The sequence below is a fragment of the Homo sapiens genome, chromosome 2 (assembly GCF_000001405.40).
Source record: "Homo sapiens chromosome 2, GRCh38.p14 Primary Assembly".
Taxonomy (NCBI): Eukaryota; Metazoa; Chordata; class Mammalia; order Primates; family Hominidae; genus Homo; species Homo sapiens.
This window is the reverse complement of record NC_000002.12, coordinates 219,429,101-219,447,237: the sequence shown is the minus strand read 5'-3', so window position 1 is coordinate 219,447,237 and position 18,137 is coordinate 219,429,101. Positions and strand designations below refer to the sequence as shown.

At 55.0% G+C, this 18,137-nt stretch overlaps 1 protein-coding gene across 37 annotated transcripts in view, besides 1 other annotated feature; it reads right to left on the bottom strand.

The window, feature by feature from the left end:
* The window catches only part of SPEG (striated muscle enriched protein kinase), a 58,787-nt gene extending 46,392 nt beyond the window's left edge, over positions 1-12,395 (bottom strand). For 8 of the 37 annotated variants that reach the window (XM_047442891.1, XM_011510479.3, XM_047442893.1 and 5 more), the window contains exons 1-4: positions 11,873-12,395; positions 3,179-3,208; positions 2,496-2,585; positions 2,077-2,413 (exon numbers count right to left, since the gene is read on the bottom strand). In XM_047442891.1, the coding sequence (XP_047298847.1) occupies positions 2,077-2,413; positions 2,496-2,585; positions 3,179-3,208; positions 11,873-12,260 (845 nt within the window). In that variant the 5' untranslated portion in view covers positions 12,261-12,395. Of the gene's footprint in view, positions 1-2,076; positions 2,414-2,495; positions 2,586-3,178; positions 3,214-4,087; positions 4,131-5,154; positions 5,196-11,872 lie in introns of those variants that run through there. The other 29 variants (XM_005246239.3, XM_047442919.1, XM_047442922.1 and 26 more) reach the window with 13 other exon arrangements.
* Positions 14,999-18,088: an enhancer, noted in NCBI's record as "VISTA enhancer hs2169". NCBI's record gives its function as "enhancer in: heart[3/8]" and the evidence as "EXISTENCE:transgenic organism evidence [ECO:0001131][PMID:17130149]".

The window sequence follows — 18,137 nt, the reverse complement described above, 5'->3', positions numbered from 1 at the left end:
GAGAAGTACAGAAGGCCCCCCCCCACAGGGATATGCTCTGAAATAACTCAGCTCAGAAATAGCTACTAAGTGGGCCTGAATAGGGAGTGTGGGAGAAAAGGAGGAGGGAAGGAGCCGGTCACCCCAGAGTATCCCTTTCACTTAACAGAGCTTTGGTGCCCAAGAGCTGGGTCTCAGTTTTCCCCATCTGGACCCTTGCGGGGAGGAGGGGGTGGGTGAGGGGGCACATCACACATAAAGATAAGCAAAAAAAAAAAAAAAAGGAATTAAATGTATTATCATACCTGACACATCAGAGAGAGCTTAATAAAAATCTGTAAAATGGCTCATTGAATATTTCCTGAGTGCCAGGCTTGTACCAAGTGCTTAAAATGCATTGAGTCATTTAATACTCACAACAGCCCTGTGAGGTAAGAACTGTGATCACCCCCATTTACAGATGAAGAAACTGAGGCATAAAAAAGATTAAATGCCTTACCAAGGTGACACAGCTGGGAAATGATTGGTGCTAGGATTGAAACCCAGGCAGTCAGAATCCTGAGCCCTTATTTCCTCCAAAGTGTCTGGGTTTCCAGGGGCACAGAAGGGAGGACAAGTAGTAGGGTGCCAGCCATGAGCAGTTCTAGGGGTCCCGAGTTAAGGATGTTTTAGCCTACCTGAGTCAGCCACCCACATGACAGACCCACCTCTGACTGGGGCTAAAAGGGGTGGTGGCAATGCAGAGTGGCCTGAGAGACAGAAACCCCAGCCAGCCACCTGCAGGGAGGAAGTGTCTTCTCTGGGGGAAGGGCCGCAGAGTCCCCAGGGAAGAGCCTCTGGGAAGTGGGTGAGGCCTGGAGAGAAATTGAGGACAGCAGAGGAGGCCTCTTGCCGGCAGCTCTGAGCTCCAGGCCAGTCTCTGTACCATAGACATCACTAAGGAAATGGGTTCCTCCGAAGTTGCCATAGCAACTCCAGGCTCTGGCTGGGGCCTGGTAAAGAAAGGCAGGAAGGGAAAGGCAAGTCCAGGGCACAGGAACACCGGGTAAGGCCAAGAAGATAAGCCAAGGGAGCCTCCCCCTGGCCGTGGCCCAGCCCTGGCCCTCTCCCCTGCCCACCGCTAGCCCTGCTCTAACCACCCTCAAAGCAGCCTCCCCCACCAGGCCCCTTCTTTCTCCTGCACGGTGGTAGCTGCCCCCACACCCATACCCATCACAAACCAGGCCCCCCTCAGCTCCCCAAATGCCCTAGTCCCTCTATTCTCAGCCACTCCCCTCTTCCACTATAGCACTCCCTCCTGTATCTGCGAGCCCCAAATCTCCAAAAATGGCTCCAGTGCCTCCAACACCTCCGCTCCTCACACCCCCTCCTGGGACAACCTTGAATCCCACCCTCAGGGACTTAGGGGTTTCCCATGAGAGAAATCATTGCAAGCCCCCTGCCACCATCACTCCCGCCCTCTCCCTCTGGCCTGGCCCCATTTCCAGCCCCTCCCTTTCCCAGCCCCCTGCCACCCCCAGCCCATGGCCTCCTGCTTTCACAGGCCCCTTGCCCCATCTGCCCCTGGCCACCTCACTCTCTTCTCTCTCCTGCTTGCTGGCTTGTTCCCCTGCTCTCTCCTGCTCTCCCGGGAGCTGCCGTGTGGAAAGGTTCTGTTCCTCCCAGAAAAAGGCCCACATGGGAACAGGAATGTGCAGAGAGATGAAAAGGCAGCAGCTGCTGAGACAGCAGGCACCAAGGGGGCCCCCGGGTCGGGGGAGGGATCCTGGGGACAACTGGAGCCCAAATGGGTGAGGCAAAAGAGGGCCCCTGAGAAACTGGAGATCTTGGAGGAGACAAGGAAGGGACAGCAGGGTCCAGGAGACCATGGAGATGGCATGGTGAGCCAGGACAGGTGGGAGCAGGGGGATGTGGGCGGTGATGGCTCAGGAGGAGGAGGGAGCAGTGTGGGAAGATGGAGTGGCAGCAGGGGGTGAAGAAATGCACAGAGAGATGGATGGGGCAGGGTGATGGGTGGAGGCTGACTGAGCAGTGAGGGCAGCGCAGGACAGCGTGGTGAGATGGGGCAGTTCAGGCCCAGGTAAGGCCGTTACTTACACGTGGATAGAGAGCGCCCGTCCTCTGTACAGGCTGAATGCGCTGCCGTACAGGTCACTGGCCACGGAAAGGCTATCCTCTGACCCCCAGCTTGCGCCCACCAGATTAGCTCGAGATGCCCGCACCAGCGGCTCCACCCCCAGGTGCCGTGGCCCGGCCCCGGTTGCCTGTGCTTGCCTTGGGCTGCCCGGGAGGCGGCGGGTGCCACCCCCACTGCCCGCTTCCTGCTCCAGGACCGTCTGCCCGCTGCCCCACCAGCTCACTTGCTCCTCTGAGGTGCCTGTCACGGAGGTCGGGGGTGTGTCCAGGGAGGTGCCCACCAGGGTGTCAGAACCCCCTAGAGAAAGGAGCACCGTGAGACTGAGGCACCCCTTATGGAAAACCCGCCTGCCTGCTCTTTGTACACCCCAGGAGCTCACCCGTGGGGGTGCTGAAGGCCCCGTCATCCCGAAGCTCCAGGCGCTGGGTTCCCTGCACATCGCTGATGTCATCCTCAGCCGTCTCTGAGTCTGGAGAAGAAGGGGTCTGTGTGGGCAGGGCCCTCCTCCCTCTGCCTCCAACTCTTCCCTATTGCCTTCTGCCTCCCTGCCAACAGCAGGCTCCATCTTATCACTGGCAGGGCTGCCAGCACCTCCTCTCTTTTGCTCCCCACATCCCCTGCCCAGCCTGGGCTGCTCAGGATAACCCCTCCCATGCCAGTGCCCTGGCTCCATCTCTGGGCCCCTGGTTACTCACGTTTACCTCCGTAGGGCCCTCCAAACTGCCACCCCCTCCCCGCCTGCCAATATCTTAATGGATTATCAGAGCCTCCTCCCTTCTCCCTCCTCCCCTTGTCAGTGAAAGCTTAAGCCCCTGTGCAGCCCCAAAATCATCAGGTCCTAGGTTCCAAGGCTCTAAAGTCTGGGTTCCAGTACCCCAGGAACAAAGAGGAGTCACCTCAGAGTCGTACTGCCAGGGCACTCGACCAACCGCGGGGCCAGCCTGTCCTCTACCCCAAACCAGCTGCAAGGCATCGGGTGCAGCTGAGGCAGGGTGAGGAGAGGCCGGGGCCGGGTGGGAAAGGGGGGGATGCGGGGGGCTAGAGCAGGAGCCAGTTTCCTACCGTAACTTTGCTTTCTGCAGGAGCGGAAAACTTCGCTTCCATAGGAGCAGCAGGAGAGAGACAGGGACAGACTGTTATCAGAGCGTTTGTGGGGCAGGGCATGGAGGGCAGTCAAGACAGAAGGGGCGTGAGGCACCCAGTCCCCAGAGGTGTCCTGTGGCAATGGGTGGGGAGGGAGATACCTGGGATGTGCCCAGCACTGGGGACCCCCATACTTGGGCTTGTTATTCCAGCTGCCCCAGTGGTTCTGGTATCCTTGGCACTTACTGGTGCTGCCACTGGCCACACACACACATGCACACACACACACACACACCTGCTTGTGTCCAGTCCAGCCGCAGACCTGGGCCTCCCATTAGGAGTCAGGCCCACCCTCTATTACAATATTTGCATTGTGCTTTGACCCCTCTTTGCAAACCAACCCCTTATCTGTCTGCATCATGATGTGACAGGCACCTTCCTCAAGGTCCCTCCCTTCTACTGTTGAATCGTCCTCAAAAATGCCCAGTGGTTAGGTTAGGAGAAAAGGTTCCTGGGAGTATTTTCAACTTTCCCAGATTCTAGCAGGTTCTGTGCCTCAGTTTCCCTCTGGCTGCCATGACAAGCAGGAGCCACGTACTGGTTGCCAAAGCATGGCAATGAACTCCTTCCCATTAGGCCTCACATGGAGAACAGGGCACCCAGTCCATGCAGGGGTGTGCTAGTGAGCCGCCCTCCCTTCTGCTGGGTCCTCTCTCAGCTGTAGGGCACAGGGGGCCTGGTCGGGTGGGTGGTAGATAAGTGTGGGGGTGAGTGGGAGGGTTCCACATCTCATGGGCTGTCTTCAGGAACTCGATGCCTCACAGAGGGACAGGGACCAAGAGGAGGAGTAGGCATGGGCTAGAGCAAGGACGCCCACGGTCCACGCACCATGGGTGAGTCGGCCAAAGGCCCGGCGGGAATGGCCGGTTTTCTGAAAGAGAAAAGCCAGAATGAGTAGTTGAGGGGGAGGCTTGTTCCTAAGGTCCCTGTGCCTCCCATCCAGACCTGCAACATCAAGCAGAAACTCATTCCCTGGCCAGTGTGTGTGTGAGAGGGGAGGTGGGCAGAGACCCAGAGTGACCAGCTTCCCCTGTAGGGAATGACTCCCCTGCCTTCTTCCAGGGTACCCAGCTGGGCTCTTGGGAGGAGCAGGGGAGGAAGGAGAGAACTGCAGGCTGCAGGTGGAAGCTGGAACATCCCACTGGACAGAGGCTCACAGCCCGGGACCAGGGCAACAGCCCGGGACCAGGGCAACAGCCCGAGAGAAAGAGGATAGAAGACGAGGTAGTCAGGCTCAGTGAGGAGAAGGAGAAGATGGGGATGCGGGGGGCGGGGTGCTTGAGTGACTGGGAGATGGAGGAACGAGGGCACAGATTCCTGCTGGGGGGAGGACAGAAACCTGGGTAGGTGTCAAGGGGGTGGGGGAGGGATGATGGGGGCAGAGGGCCAGAGCCTCACGAATGCAGGAGGCCCAGGTGCGCGGAGGACAGGGCAGGGCTTGGGGAATGTATTGAGCTCAGCGCGGATCCGTGTGCGTTGCTTTCAGGAGCTCCGGAAGATGGAAAGCTTCAGAGTGGGGGGCTGGGGCAGGCCGGGCGGGGGGCCGGGGCCCGGGGTTGAGGTTGGACAGAGGAGAGAGAAGATGTGGCAAAGAAGCAAGTGGGCGCTCCACGCCGAACGCTGCAGCGGGGGCCTTCCCCGGTGGTCGCGGGGATTGCGGGCGATCGGGGAGCGGGGGATCTGCCCTTCAGCGCGGGGAGGGGCCTGCGCGCTCAGGACACAGACCCGGGCGCCCCTAGATCGCGCCCGGCCCGCCGCCCTCGGCGGGGCTCGGGTGGGGCAGGCGCCGATCCAGCGCCCCCTCCACCGGGCCCAGCTGCGGTGACCCGCCCTCCCTCCGGGGCGCCCAGGCCTCCCTGCCCCCTCCCGGCGCCGCCCGCCCCCGGAGCCCTCACCTGGAAACGCTTCTTCACCCACAGCTTCTTCATGGCGGGGGAGGGGGCCGGGCCGGCGGCCGGGCGAGGAGGGGACGGGCGGGGGCGGGGCGGAGTCGGAGGCGGGGCCGGGGGCGAGCTGGGGAGCGGGCGGGAGCCGGCGCGGGTGGCGGAAGGAGCCTGGGGCCTCGGGAGCCGGGTGGGGGTAAGGCGGCGACGGCGGCGGCAGCAGCGGCGGCGGCGGCGCTGGAGTCCGCCCCTCCCTCGCCAGCCTGCACCCCACCTGGGGCCCCTTCCTTGTCCTGTCCCCCTACTTCCCCCGGGGAGGCCCTCACCTGCCTCCCTACACGACCACCGGTCACCTCCTAACGCCGAGAGCCACGGACCCCCACCCTGCATCTGCCTCCGGAGCCCTAGGCACATGAGGAAACTGAGGCACAGAAAGGGGTGCAATGGCCTCTAGCTCAGGCCACTTTCTGGCAGCCCAGCGCAGCCTCCTCCCACCCTCACCTCCTCCCGCGGGGCCTCTCTGGAAGGTCAGCAGCATCTCGACTTGCTCATTCCACAAACATGCGCGCACACACACTGTGCCAGGCAGAACCGAACTCGCCGAAGGGCACAGCGCCGGGTGGGGGCGCCTAGGTCAAACGCAGGGCAAGGGTCCTGGCGGGTGTGGACTGCGTGTTAACATGGACTCAGACTGTGAAAACCCTAAGGCTTCTCAAGAAAGCCAGAGAGGGCTTTATCTTGCCTTACCTCGCGATTGTCCCATGCGCGGCCCCCTACCCCCGTACATTCACACACACAAGCAAAGGTGCACAGAGGTACCCCCATTATTCACAAAGTTGGCCAGTGTTCTCAATCACAGGGAAGCACACTCACCAAATATTTTGTGTGTTCCACCCGATCCCTGCCCTATTCAGCACTATGCACACTTTGCATACACAAAATTCTATCCTCCCCATGACCATTATAGCTATGTTTGTTTAGCAGTTACTAAGTGCCAGGCACTTTACAAATGTTACCTCATTTACAATAACCCCATGAGCTGGAAACCCTTATGAATAATCCTATACCCATTTAACTGACAAGTGACTGAGTCTCAGAGAAGTCCTATCACTTAGTCAAAGCCATACAGGTTCTAGGACTCCATGTGTCCTGGAGATGGGAATTATCATCCCAGTGAGCACAGGTAGTGCCAATCCTGATTTCTGAGCTGTGACTACTAAGTAACTATTAACAGTTATTGCGTGTTTGGTATGTACCAGGCATTGTGCTAAGCACTCTATGTGAATGAGCTCATTTAATCCTCACGACAAGAGGAAGACTGAGACACAGAGAGGTTACTTGCCCAAGGTCACATGGCCAATAAATTGAGGGAGCCAGAATTCCAACCTAGGCAGATGCATGAGAATCACTTATGCCCAGGAGGCGAGGTTGTAGTGAGCAGAGATCGCACCACTGTACTCCAACCTGGGTGACAGAGCAAGACTCTGCTTTAAATAAATAAATAAATAAATAAATAAATAAATAAATAAATAAAATAAAATAAATACAGGGACAGACTGATGAGTTTTGTTCAGCCTGCACAATGTTTGGGCTGGAGCAATCATGCCTGAGCTCAGCGCACCTCCCTCATTTTCAGTTTCTACTTGACCCCTGCAGTTATTTGAGTCTGTGGCCCCTTTATCTTATTTTAGATTTCTTTATTGTTTTAGAGACTAGGTCTCACTCTGTTGTCCAGGCTAGAGTGCAGCGGTGCCATCATGGCTCACTGCAACCTTGACCACCTGGGCTCAAGAGATTCCCCCCACCTCAGCCCCCCTTGTACCTGAGACTACAGGTGCATGCCATCATGCCCAGCTAATTTTTAAAAAAATATTAAGTAGAGATGAAGTCTTATTATCTTACACAAGCTGGTCTCGAACTCCTGGGCTCAAGCTATTCTCCTGCCTCGGCATTCCAAAATGCTGGGATGATAGGCATGAGCCACCGCACCTGGCTGCTCTTTTATTCTAAAGTTTAGGTCATGTCTTGTACATTCTGGGTGCATACAGGTGTTCTTGTTTCCTAGAGCATCAAAGCAAATTACAAGTACAGACACATGCACAGGGACGTGTGCTGAGAGGGCACATATGTGTGTCCACACTCGTTCCAGCCAGAGGACCCTGGACACCCATGGGCACTTTCCATGTACACCCCTAAACACACCCACTCACAGATGGGGAGCTGAGTGATGAGAGGGGGTAACTTGAGCCCCTGTTCCCCAGGAGAATCCAAGGGGCTGGCACATTCCGTAGCAAAAATAACCAATGGGCAGCGGGCGTGAGTGACGGGACAGCTGGGCCCAGGAGGGGCCGGCAGGATTCTGTGTTCCTGCTCTGGGTCGGCACTGCTCACTCCTGAAGGGCTGGCCTGGAACATGCTCTCTGGGTGGGCCTCCCCAGCTGGCCCCAGATTGCCCCATTTTTCTCCCATAGCTGGGCAGCTGTGTCTCCCTGCCACTCCCCCAAACCCAGACTTCCAATTTCTGCACTGCCAGCATTTCCCTCCAACCAGAGAAAATCCAAATCTCCATCCTATGCCACAAGCTCCCACCCCACCTCCCTTTTGTCTCCTCTTTCCTGCCTCAGTTCAGTTTCTCCCTTCTCTCATTTACGACCCTGCTCTGTATTTCTGACATACTGTGTAATTTACCTATTTACTATGTTTATTGTGTATTGTCTGTCTCCCCTCACTAGAAAGTTATCCCCTGGAGGACATAAATTTTGGTCTCCCTCAACCCCCTGACTCGTGTATCAAAAGCACATAGTAGGCACTCAATAAATATGGGAGGGGGTGGCAGAGCTGCAGGTGGAGAGGGTAAGCAGTGATGGGAACGGGGACAGTAAATCTTCCTGCAACGGCTTCCACTCATCCAGCCTTCCCCCTTCTCTGTCCTAACCCATATTCTGTCCCCAGAGGTCTTTAGCCAGAAAAGTGACCATCTCTCATTCCACTCAGGATTCCCCTGGAGAGGGTCCCAGAGCTCCTCTCTGCTCCCACTCTGGCCTCTCCTCCGCTCACTGGTCAGCACTTGGCATGCATGCATGTTGACACTCCCCATACCCATTCCCAGCTCCATACTACTTTCCACCTGGCTTCTCTAGCCAGACATTCTAAATTCCAGGTGAAAAAGAATAACTGCAGAATATTCCTCAACACAGGTTCTGGTACATTCCTCTACCCTTTCCTTGCCTAAGTTGGCCCTCTCTCCCTATCTCTAAGCTCTCCTCTCCAAGCCTTTGAGTCCCCAGGATGGTTCATTACCATGTTTTGATCTTTGGCCCTTCTGATTAACACCAGAATCTTCCAGACCCTAGCTATGAAGCTCCAACTAACACACCATGTGAGCATCATCAGCTCACCTCTTCTCTCGGCTGTGCCTTCTCCTGCTTCCCCTCTGCCCTTTAGTGCAGGTCTGCTCTTCAGCCACACACGCACACCCACAGCTTTGAGGGTAGCACTTGCTGTGGTCTCTGGATTTGCATGTGGCTCCTCAGCCTGTGCAAGTGGGAGCCTGATATTTTGAAAAAGAAGAATGCCTGCCTATCTTGGAGACTAGGCCAGAGATGGATTTGGAGATATTGACGGAGAAAGATGGTGACGATGACAAATCCTTGACAGTCTTCCCACACTTCTCTTTCTGTGGACAAGCAGTATGGACCCAGACTCAGATACCTGGCTTTCAGACCTGGCTCTGGCACCTCACTAGCCATGGGAACTTAGGTAAATTTCCTCTTTGAACCCCAGTTTTTCTATATGAATAATGGTCATAACAGTAACCTAGGGTTTGGAAGATTAAATAATTAAATGAGACAGGGTACTTACGCATGTTAAGGATTCTACAAGTATCCTGCATTTCTGCTATCTTCACCTCCTTTGTTTCCGATTCTTCCCTCATTTCTACATCCCCCAAATCTCAGCACCACCACCCCCAGTTTCCCATCCTCCAAATTTTCCAGGCTGTAGCCCACTTGCCTTCTCATGACCCCAACTTTCCAGAGCCATGCCCAAATCCTTCCATCCTTGAGCTAACATATCCGGCTTCAGGAGTGCCAGGAACCTAGCATCACTTTGTCTTATTGAGCCAGCAATCCCAGCCAGGAAAGCATGTCCTTCCGTCTGCAGCCAGGTCCTTGCTTGGCTTCCTCGAGTACCCTGAAGTCCTCCTGCTGTTGTTTCCAACCAAGAAAGTTTTCCATGAGTAAGTCTGAGCAATGCCGAGCTGCTTGCCCGGCTGCCCTGGAGCAGGAGCTATCACTGGGCAGGGGCTGGTGGGGGTGGGCAACAGAAGGGATAGGAAGCCAGATTCACCCAGTCAGTCCCCCAGCATCACCAAAGCAAAGCCCCTCCCTCCTCCAAAGCATGTGGGATAGGTGTAATAGTTACACACATGGTTCTTTGCAGTGGGACAGACTGAGGCCTCCACCTGTTCTGCCACCTTCTATCTACACAATCAGGACATGTTCTCAAAGGTTATTTGCTGCAGCCCAGTCCTCTTCCTATTCTCATATGAATGTCAAAGGGCCCCTGATCCAGCCCCACAACACCCAGGGCCCTTTTCTTACCCCAAGCCTCTCAAGCCTGCTGTTCCACCAGAGCAGCCCAGCCTGCACACTGTCAGCCTGGCCTCTGTCTAGGTACGCCCAGCCAGGCTCAGCGCTGCTGACCACACCACCAAGACTGCAGAGAGGCTGAGCAAACAGCCCTGCTGGGGGCTCTCACACCTCATCACCACTTACCACTTTGAGGGACCAAGGCAGGCCAGGAGACATCCATCTTGAGAAATGCCAGGCCTGGGCCAATCATGTGACAGCTACTTTCCCAGTACTCTCCCTCCCTCTCTCGCTCTTTCCTCTCTCTCCAGAACTTCTTGAGGAGTACAAGGCCCCCAGAACCAAAACCAGGAGGACTGGGTTCTTAGTTCTGGGATGGCCATAACTAGCTATGTCTCTAACTAGACTAGTACGTCTTAGGCAGAGCTCCCTGATCTTTGGCCCACAGTGTCCTTGCCTGTGAAAGGATGTGTTTGGAGCTGCAGTTCTCTGTGGTCCTTTCCAACCTTAACTTATATTATGACTGTTACTCTCCTTGTCAGCTCTTTCGTTCCCTTCCCTAATCTCTCCCCCAGTCATATTCTCATCAACTCATCTATCTTACCCTTTGATCTATGTTCTATTTTCAGCCCTCTTTGCCCCTGGGGGGACCAGAGCTGAGATCCCCAAGGAGTCCACACCTTCCCCAGCTCCGAAGTCTGCTAGAATGCACCCCATCCCCTGATCCCAGGCTCGGGAGGCCTGTACTTGTCCAGGTGCTAGGCCAACCAGGAGACGCCAGCCTTGGCCCTCTCTGGCCCAGGCCTGGCCACAGAGACTCCAGGAAGGTGGGCAGAGCAGGGCTGGGGGGAGGAGATGCCGATGGAGGGAGGCCAGCCCGGCTCCCTCTCCTGACTTGGCTGTGTCCTAGAGACTTCTTGCCCACCTGCTGCTGAGGGCTTTCCTCCCTGTGCCTCCTCCCCAGCCTCCAAGGATTTACCCCTACACAGCAGCACCCAGGGGAGTGACATGTCCCTCTTAGAAACGTCCAAGGGAGTGAACCCCCAGCTCCTTGCCATCTCTCCCAGCTGTAGCCTACTTCCTCAGAATTCTGTTTCTCAAGGCGCAGCCTGCCCAAGGCTCTGCCTTTGGCTAGAGAAGTACCACTTGGCTTACTCAAGGACTGAGGAAATCAAAAAGGAAGCCCCCAAATGGATCCAAGGCTAACGGCCCTGGCCTGGCCTCCATGGTAGCCCCAGCTGGACCATGAGCACTGGGCCCAGCCTCTTGCCCTCCCCTTCTGCCTCAGACCCTCAGCCTTTTCTTCACACTGCACCTGGAAATCTATGGGCGGGGGACAAGCACTGGTCCATAGCATCCCCCTTCCATGCTCTGGAAACATCCACTCTGGAAGCTCAGGTAGACATGGTCCAGGAGCTTCCCATTCCAGCTCCACGTGCCCATACCTCACCTGTTTGCACCACCACACAGAATCCAGGGCCCTCCACAGCACCCATGCAGGCACACACCTGCATGTGGATTCTCAAGCACTCACCTCCATTCATGCCCATGGGGCCCTGGCTCGGGCTCCACCTCCTCCTACCCTGGACCCTGTTCACACGTGGCCAACCATAGGCCTCTTCCACACCCCACCTAGAGCTGACCACATCAACCCTGCCACGGCAATGGCCTGCAGGGAGCTCTGAGCCATCCCTTCAACAGTGCAGCCTGGACCAGAGGAGCTGGCCCCCTCCTTCGGACATGGACTCCCCTGTTAAGGAGCTGATCGGAGTGTCAATCTCAAGTTTAAATCATGGAACTGAAGGACACCCTTTCCCCCAGGAGGCTTTTCTCCACAGGAGGAGAAGAACTTCCACCCCAGAATTCCCTGAGAGGTGGGAGTGGGTCTCAGGCTTGGCTTATCAACCGCTTGCTGCCCCTTGACCTCTGACCTTCCTGTGGGGAGCCTCTCTACCTTGACACCCCATTCCCTGCACTTGGCTCTTCGTCTCACTTCTGGGGCCGGGCAGCCGAGAAGCCAGGGCACCTGGGAAGAAGGCGGCGGAACCAGTATCCAGTACCTTACCCGCGTGGCCTGGGCAGCCCTTTTCTACCTCTGAGCACCCCGCCCCTGCCGGGCGCGGCCCCCACCTGCCCTTTACCTCCGACCTCCAGCACTGTGAGCACCGCCTCGCAGGAGGCCCGGCCCCGCTCGTTCTGGGCCATGCAGCTGTACACGCCGGCGTCCTGCGCCCCGCAGCGCCGCAGCCACAGGCAGCTGGGCTCGGGGGCCGGCGCGGGCAGGAGCTGCCCATCCCGGAACCAGCGGAGGCTGGGCTGGGGCGTCCCGCTCACCACCACCCGCAGCCGCACGTCGCTGCCCGCGCACACCGCCGCGTTCTTCAGGGGCCGCAGGAAGACTGGCGCCCCGGCCACGGCCACAGGAGCCCCGCCGCCGGCCCCCACCTTGGCCCTTTTCGGGGGCACTCCGGGGCTGGGGGGTGCCCTCGTGCCCGCATCCTCGCCTCGCGTGCCCCGGGCTTTCTGCATGGCCACTGAGAGCTGGGCTGGGGGGACGCCGGAACTGGGCGGCCACGGGGGCACCCGCGGGACGGTGCCCTAGGAGACAAGTCTGGGGGGCCGGCGGCCTGCCTTCCTGCTGCCCGCCCGCCTTCGGCCTGTGCTACCCAGAAGGTCACCGGGGCGGCCGGCGATTGCGCCTGGGGGCTATTTTTAGGCCCCCCGGCTCGGGTTGCGAGGGAGCCGTGGAGGGAGGGGGCAGCAGGGGAGGGACTTGACTCCACTTGGCTCCTTCTCTCCCTCCAGGAGCCCCCATCGCCGGCCCGGCTTAAGGGAGTCCCTCGGTATTTGTTCCAGGCTTTCCCCTCCGTAGTGTGCCTGGCCCCCACACGACCCACTGCAGGGAGTCAGGTTACCCCTGGGCTCAATCCCATTTCCCTTCCTCCCTCATCTCAGACCCCTCATCCCTGCCCGGCTTCGCTGGGAGGGGAAGAAGAGGAACGGTCCTGGTGAGATGCCTGAGAGGTGGATGGGGAGGCAGGCCCAAGTGGAGGTGAGCAGACAGCTCCGAAGAGGGACCATGGCCTCCCCCAGCGCCTCCATTACAGCTGGCGAACAGTAAGACCAGGAGCCTGGGAGTCAGGTGGATTGGGGCCTCCACTGCGCCCTGCCCTTACTTGCTGGGTGACACCAAACCTCTCTCAACCTCCAAGTCCTCATCTGTAAGAATGGGTGGTGGAATAGGGTTGCAATAGGCAGAAAAGAGTGGGCAGGACATTCCAGGCAGAGGGAACGGCATGAACAAAATGAGCCTGATGAAAACAAAGGCGTCCTGGGAATTAGAGAGGTTTGGAGGGATTGAAGCGTAGTGGGTGGGGTGAGTGGAAGAAGGGAGGTGGGGCCTGGAGAAGGCTTTGTTTGCTAAGGCTTTGGTTTCTCTACCCTGAAAGCAGGGGGCGCCACTACACAGCTTTAAGCGGCAGAAAAAACACGGTGGGAGCTGTGTCTTAGGAGGATCCTCTTGGCGGCCACAAAGTGGAGGATGGATAGAAATGACGGCCAGTTCAAGTAAAGGCCAGATTCCCAGCCTCCTTGCCCCACACTGGTTCAGCAGCTGAGCTGGGAGGAATCTGCACATTTAACAAATGACTCAACTGATTCTGATGTGCCTAAGTGTTGCACGTTGAGAAACATCAAGAGTCCAGATGAGACCTTTGTGATAGAACAGTTCTGTATCTTGGCTGGGCGCGGTGGCTAACACCTGTAATTCCAGCACTTTGGGAGGCCGAGGTGGGTGGATCACTTGAACTCAGGAATTCAACACCAGCCTGGCCAACATGGTGAAACCTGTCTCTACTAAAAATACAAAAAATTAGCCAGGTGTAGTGGCTCATGCCTGTAGTCCCAGCTACTCAGGAGGCTGAGGCAGGAGAATCGCTTGAACCTGGGAGGTGGAGGTTGCAGTGAGCCTAGATGGCACCACTGCACTGCAGCCTGGGCAACAGAGTGAGACTCTGTCTCAAAAAACAAAACAAAACAAAAACAGAACAGTTCTGTATCTTGACAGTGGTAATGGTGGTGGTTATGTGGATCTACACAAGTGATAAAGTTGCATAGAACTAAATGTGCATTTGCACTTGTACGCAACACTAACAGTACATGTAACACTGGTAAAACTTGCAGAAGGTAGGTGGATTATACCAATGCCCCTTTCCTGGTTGTGATGCTGTACTATAGTCATACAAGATGTTACCCTAGGAGGAAACCAAGTGAAGGTAATTCAGGATCTCTCTGCATTATTTCTTATAATTGCCTGTGAATCTACAGTTATCATAAAGTAAAAAATTTTTTAAGAAGTCCAAGTAGGAGACCCAGGCCTGACCTTGAGCCCTGAGGGATGAAACCCAGGAAGGGCTGAGAGGAGCCATGAGTATTCAGAGGCAGAGAATGTTACTCTTACCCTTGCCTCCTCTTCCCCATCCTCATTCTGGGATACTGAAGTCAAAGAGAAAGAGAGAGAGCGCGAGAGACAGTGTGTAAAAGGTATAGGAGGAACCATTTAAACACTGAATTACATCCATAGAGGTTAAGAACCTTGAGGAATAATTTTTTTTACAGTTTGCATACATTAAAGTTTTTTTTTTTTTTGAGACGGAGTTTCACTCTTGTTGCCCAGGCCGGAGTGCAATGGTGTGATCTCGGCTCACCACAACCTCCTCCTCCCGGGTTCGAGCAATTCTCCTGCCTCAGCCTCCCGAGTAGCTGGGATTACAGGCATGCACCACCACACCCAGCTAATTTTGTATTTTTAGTAGAGACGGGGTTTCTCCATTTTGGTCGGGCTGGTCTCGAACTCCCGACCTCAGGTGATCTGCCTGCCTCAGCCTCCTAAAGCACTGGGATTACAGGTGTGAGCCACCGTGCCTGGCCTAAAGTTTATTTTTTTATGAGGTGCAGTTCTCTGGGTTTTGACAAATGCATAGAATCATGTATCTGCCACTCCAGGACCATACAGAGCAAACAATTCCATCACCCCAAATACTAGCTCATGTACCCCCTTCGGAGTCATAGACTCTACCATAGACCCCCTCCACCAACCTCTGGCAACCACTGATGATGAATCGAATTCTAAAGTGTAAATTGAATTCTAGAAGGTGACAATATGGGGGAAGTCATTGCAAACAGATGGTACATCAAGAAAAAAGGAATAGAGAGTATTTCGAAAAACAAATAACCCAAAGCCACCCAACACTGTGCCTCTAAATGTGTGTGGAATGCAGTGGGTAGACTGTAAATGTTGGCTGGTTAGTAAGTTGGTTGAATAAATGAACGATGCGATCTCAAGCAAGTTACCTAGCATCTCTAAGCCTCGGTTTCCTCATCTATAGAATGGAGGTAGCACAACTCAGGGTTTTAATTATTTATTCATCCATAATTTTTTTATTTATTCATCCACAAATATTTTTGAGTTTCTACTATGTACTGGCACTGTGCTAGGGACTAGGGATATAGCAGTGAACAGACAAAGATTTCTGCTCCCATGCTGCTTTTACTTGAGAAGAGAGATGAACAACAAATACAAAGAAATAGGCTGCGCACGGTGGCTCACGCCTGTAATCCCAGCACTTTGGGAGGCTGAGGCAGGAGGATCACCTGAGGTCAGAAGTTCAAGACCAGCCTGGCCAACATGGTGAAACCTCATCTCTACTAAAAATACAAAAATTAGCCAGGCCTGGTGGCACACACCTGTAATCTCAGCTACTTGGGAGGCTAAAGCAGGAGAATTGCTTGAACCCGGGTGGCAGAGGTTGCAGTGAGCCGAGATGGCACCACTGCACTCCAACCTGGGCAACAGAGTGAGACTCCATCTCAATAAGAAAGAAAGATAAGAAAGAGAAAGGAAGGAAGGAAGGAAGGAAGGAAGGAAGGAAGGAAGGAAGGAAGGAAGGAAGGAAGGAAAAGAAAGAACCTGTAAAGATTGTTACAAGGAGGTAAGCACTGTGGACAAAGCTTAAGGCAAATGTGAGTGTGGTGGGAGATTGCACTTTCAAATAGGGTGTGGCTGGAGTTGGCCCCACTGGGAACATTTGAGCCAATCTTGAGTAAGAAAGCAAATGATGCAAATGTCTGGGGAGGGCTGCTTCTGGCAGAGGTGGGAATATGCCTGGTGGGCTCCAAGACGAAGGCCAGAGAGGATGGAGGGAGCAAGGGGAGAGTGGAAGGAAATGGGTCAGACAGGCAGCAGAAGCCAGATGGCCTAGAATTTTGCAGGCCATGGCGCTTTTGTTCCTGGTGAAATGAGAAGTCATCTTAGGGCTTTGAGCAGAAGAATTACATGATCTGACTTACGTTGTAGTAATGACATTAAATTATTATATTAAATATTCAAATGAAGATTAACTATTTAAAAGGGCCTGGCACAGAGCCTGGAACATGACTTGCCTTCTGCCTTCCTAGATCCATAATTGGGGCATTCGTTGATTTGCGTGCAGGAGTCTGTGGGCCTGGGTAGGGAGGGCACAAGTCCATGCAAGTCACTGGTGCCCTCTTCTGGGAGGAGCCCACACTAGCTGTGACAGCTGGAAGCCGTCAGGCTCTGGCCAGGCCAGGCCAGGCACTTGGGACAGCTGGCTGCAAGTCACTCGTCTGTCCCTCAGCATGGGCCCCACAGTGCCCTGCAGCCTGGCGCCTAGCTGGGTGTGTGTGCTGCCAGTCTGCCCTGTCTTGCGATCACAAGCCTCTGGTGTCATGGAAAGAGATCTGAGCTCCAGAGGCCAGGGAGCCTGGAGCCCAGTCCTCCTTTGCTACAGACTGCTGTGTGACCTTTGCAGGTCACCCTACCTCTCTGGAGGTGCCACTGGGCACTTCTTAAGCCATAATGATGTACCACATGCCTGGCACATGGGAAAAATCTCAGTAAGTGTTCATTGAATCAGTGAATAAAGTGGGGGCCATCAGCCCTTCCTGGTGAATATTTAATTTAGAGAAAAGTAAGTAAAAGTGCGCAGTAGGTATTCATTCATTAAGTATTTAAATATTTAATGAGTACCTACTATTCTTCCAGGCATTCTTCTGGGCACTTGGGATACAATAGTGAATAAAATGGATTAAAATTCTACCCTTAGGTAGCTGACGTTTTAGGTGTTAAATCGAAGGTTATTGAAGCATTTGCAGATGTGCCTTGGGTGAGCTTGTGGTGAGAGGAAGGAGGGAGGGGGTGAATGAGTAGAATAGGACAGGGGCCTCAAGGGACGGGGGTGAAAATATACCTGGAGTGGACAGACAGGCAGGAAAATGTCTGCTGATCCATCAGTCCTGGCATATGGTGCCTGCCTCCATGATCCCTTCCATTACACCCTGTCTGCTGGGGTCAGAGCTGGTCTGGGCCTGATCCTTTGGGTCCGGTGGGAAGCCGATCAGCATTCTATGAGCCCTGTTACTTCTTGATGTTCAGAGTCTTGAAGGTTAAGACCCCAGAGCCCAAGGAGCAGGAAGAGGCTTTGCCGTGGAGGTGTTTTTTTTTTTTTTTTTTTTGAGACAGAGTCTCCCTCTGTTGCCCAGGCTGGAGTGCAGTGGCGCGATCTCGGCTCACTGCAAGCTCCGCCTCCCGGGTTCATGCCATTCTCCTGCCTCAGCCTCCTGAGTAGCTGGGACTACAGGCACCCACCACCACGCCCGGCTAATTTTTTTTTTTTTTTTTTTTTGTATTTTCAGTAGAGAGGGGTTTCACTGTGTTAGCCAGGCTGGTCTTGAACTCCTGACCTTGTGATCCACACGCCTCAGCCTCCCAAAGTGCTGGGATTACAGGTGTGAGCCACCGTGCCCCGCCCCTGTTGTTGGGTTTTTGTTTTGTTTTGTAGAGATCGGGTCTTGCAGTTTCCCAGGCTGGTCTCAAACTCCTGGGCTCAAGTGATCCTCCCACCTTGGCCTCCCAAAGTGCTGGGATTATAGATGTGAGCCACTGCAGCCGGTGGAAACCCAAATCTGTTTTGGTTTGTATTTGCCCATTCTCTGGGTTCCCTTGGTCACAGCTCAGCTCTTATGAAGAGAGGCAAAGATTAGAACCAGAATTTCTAGTTCCAGGCAGGCTGTGCTCAAAGAATCCTTCCCCACCTGGGGGATAGAGGGTGGCTCTGGGCCTTCTTTCTTCTCTGGGGACAAGTGGGTAGCAGTCACAGGAGACAGGTGTGCTGAGAAGGAAGAGCTTTATTTCAGAACTGTCCCCAGCTGGAAGGGGCCACCAAAGAAGCGGTGAGTTCTCGGGCTCTGGAGACATTCAGGCAGAGTTTGAGGAATGCTCATGAAGGATGTGGGGCAGGGCTGAGAAGGGGGTTTCTGCACCTCAAGGATCATTGCCTGGGAGCCTTCTGAGGTCTGACTCTGAGAGCCTGAGATTCCTACATTCCT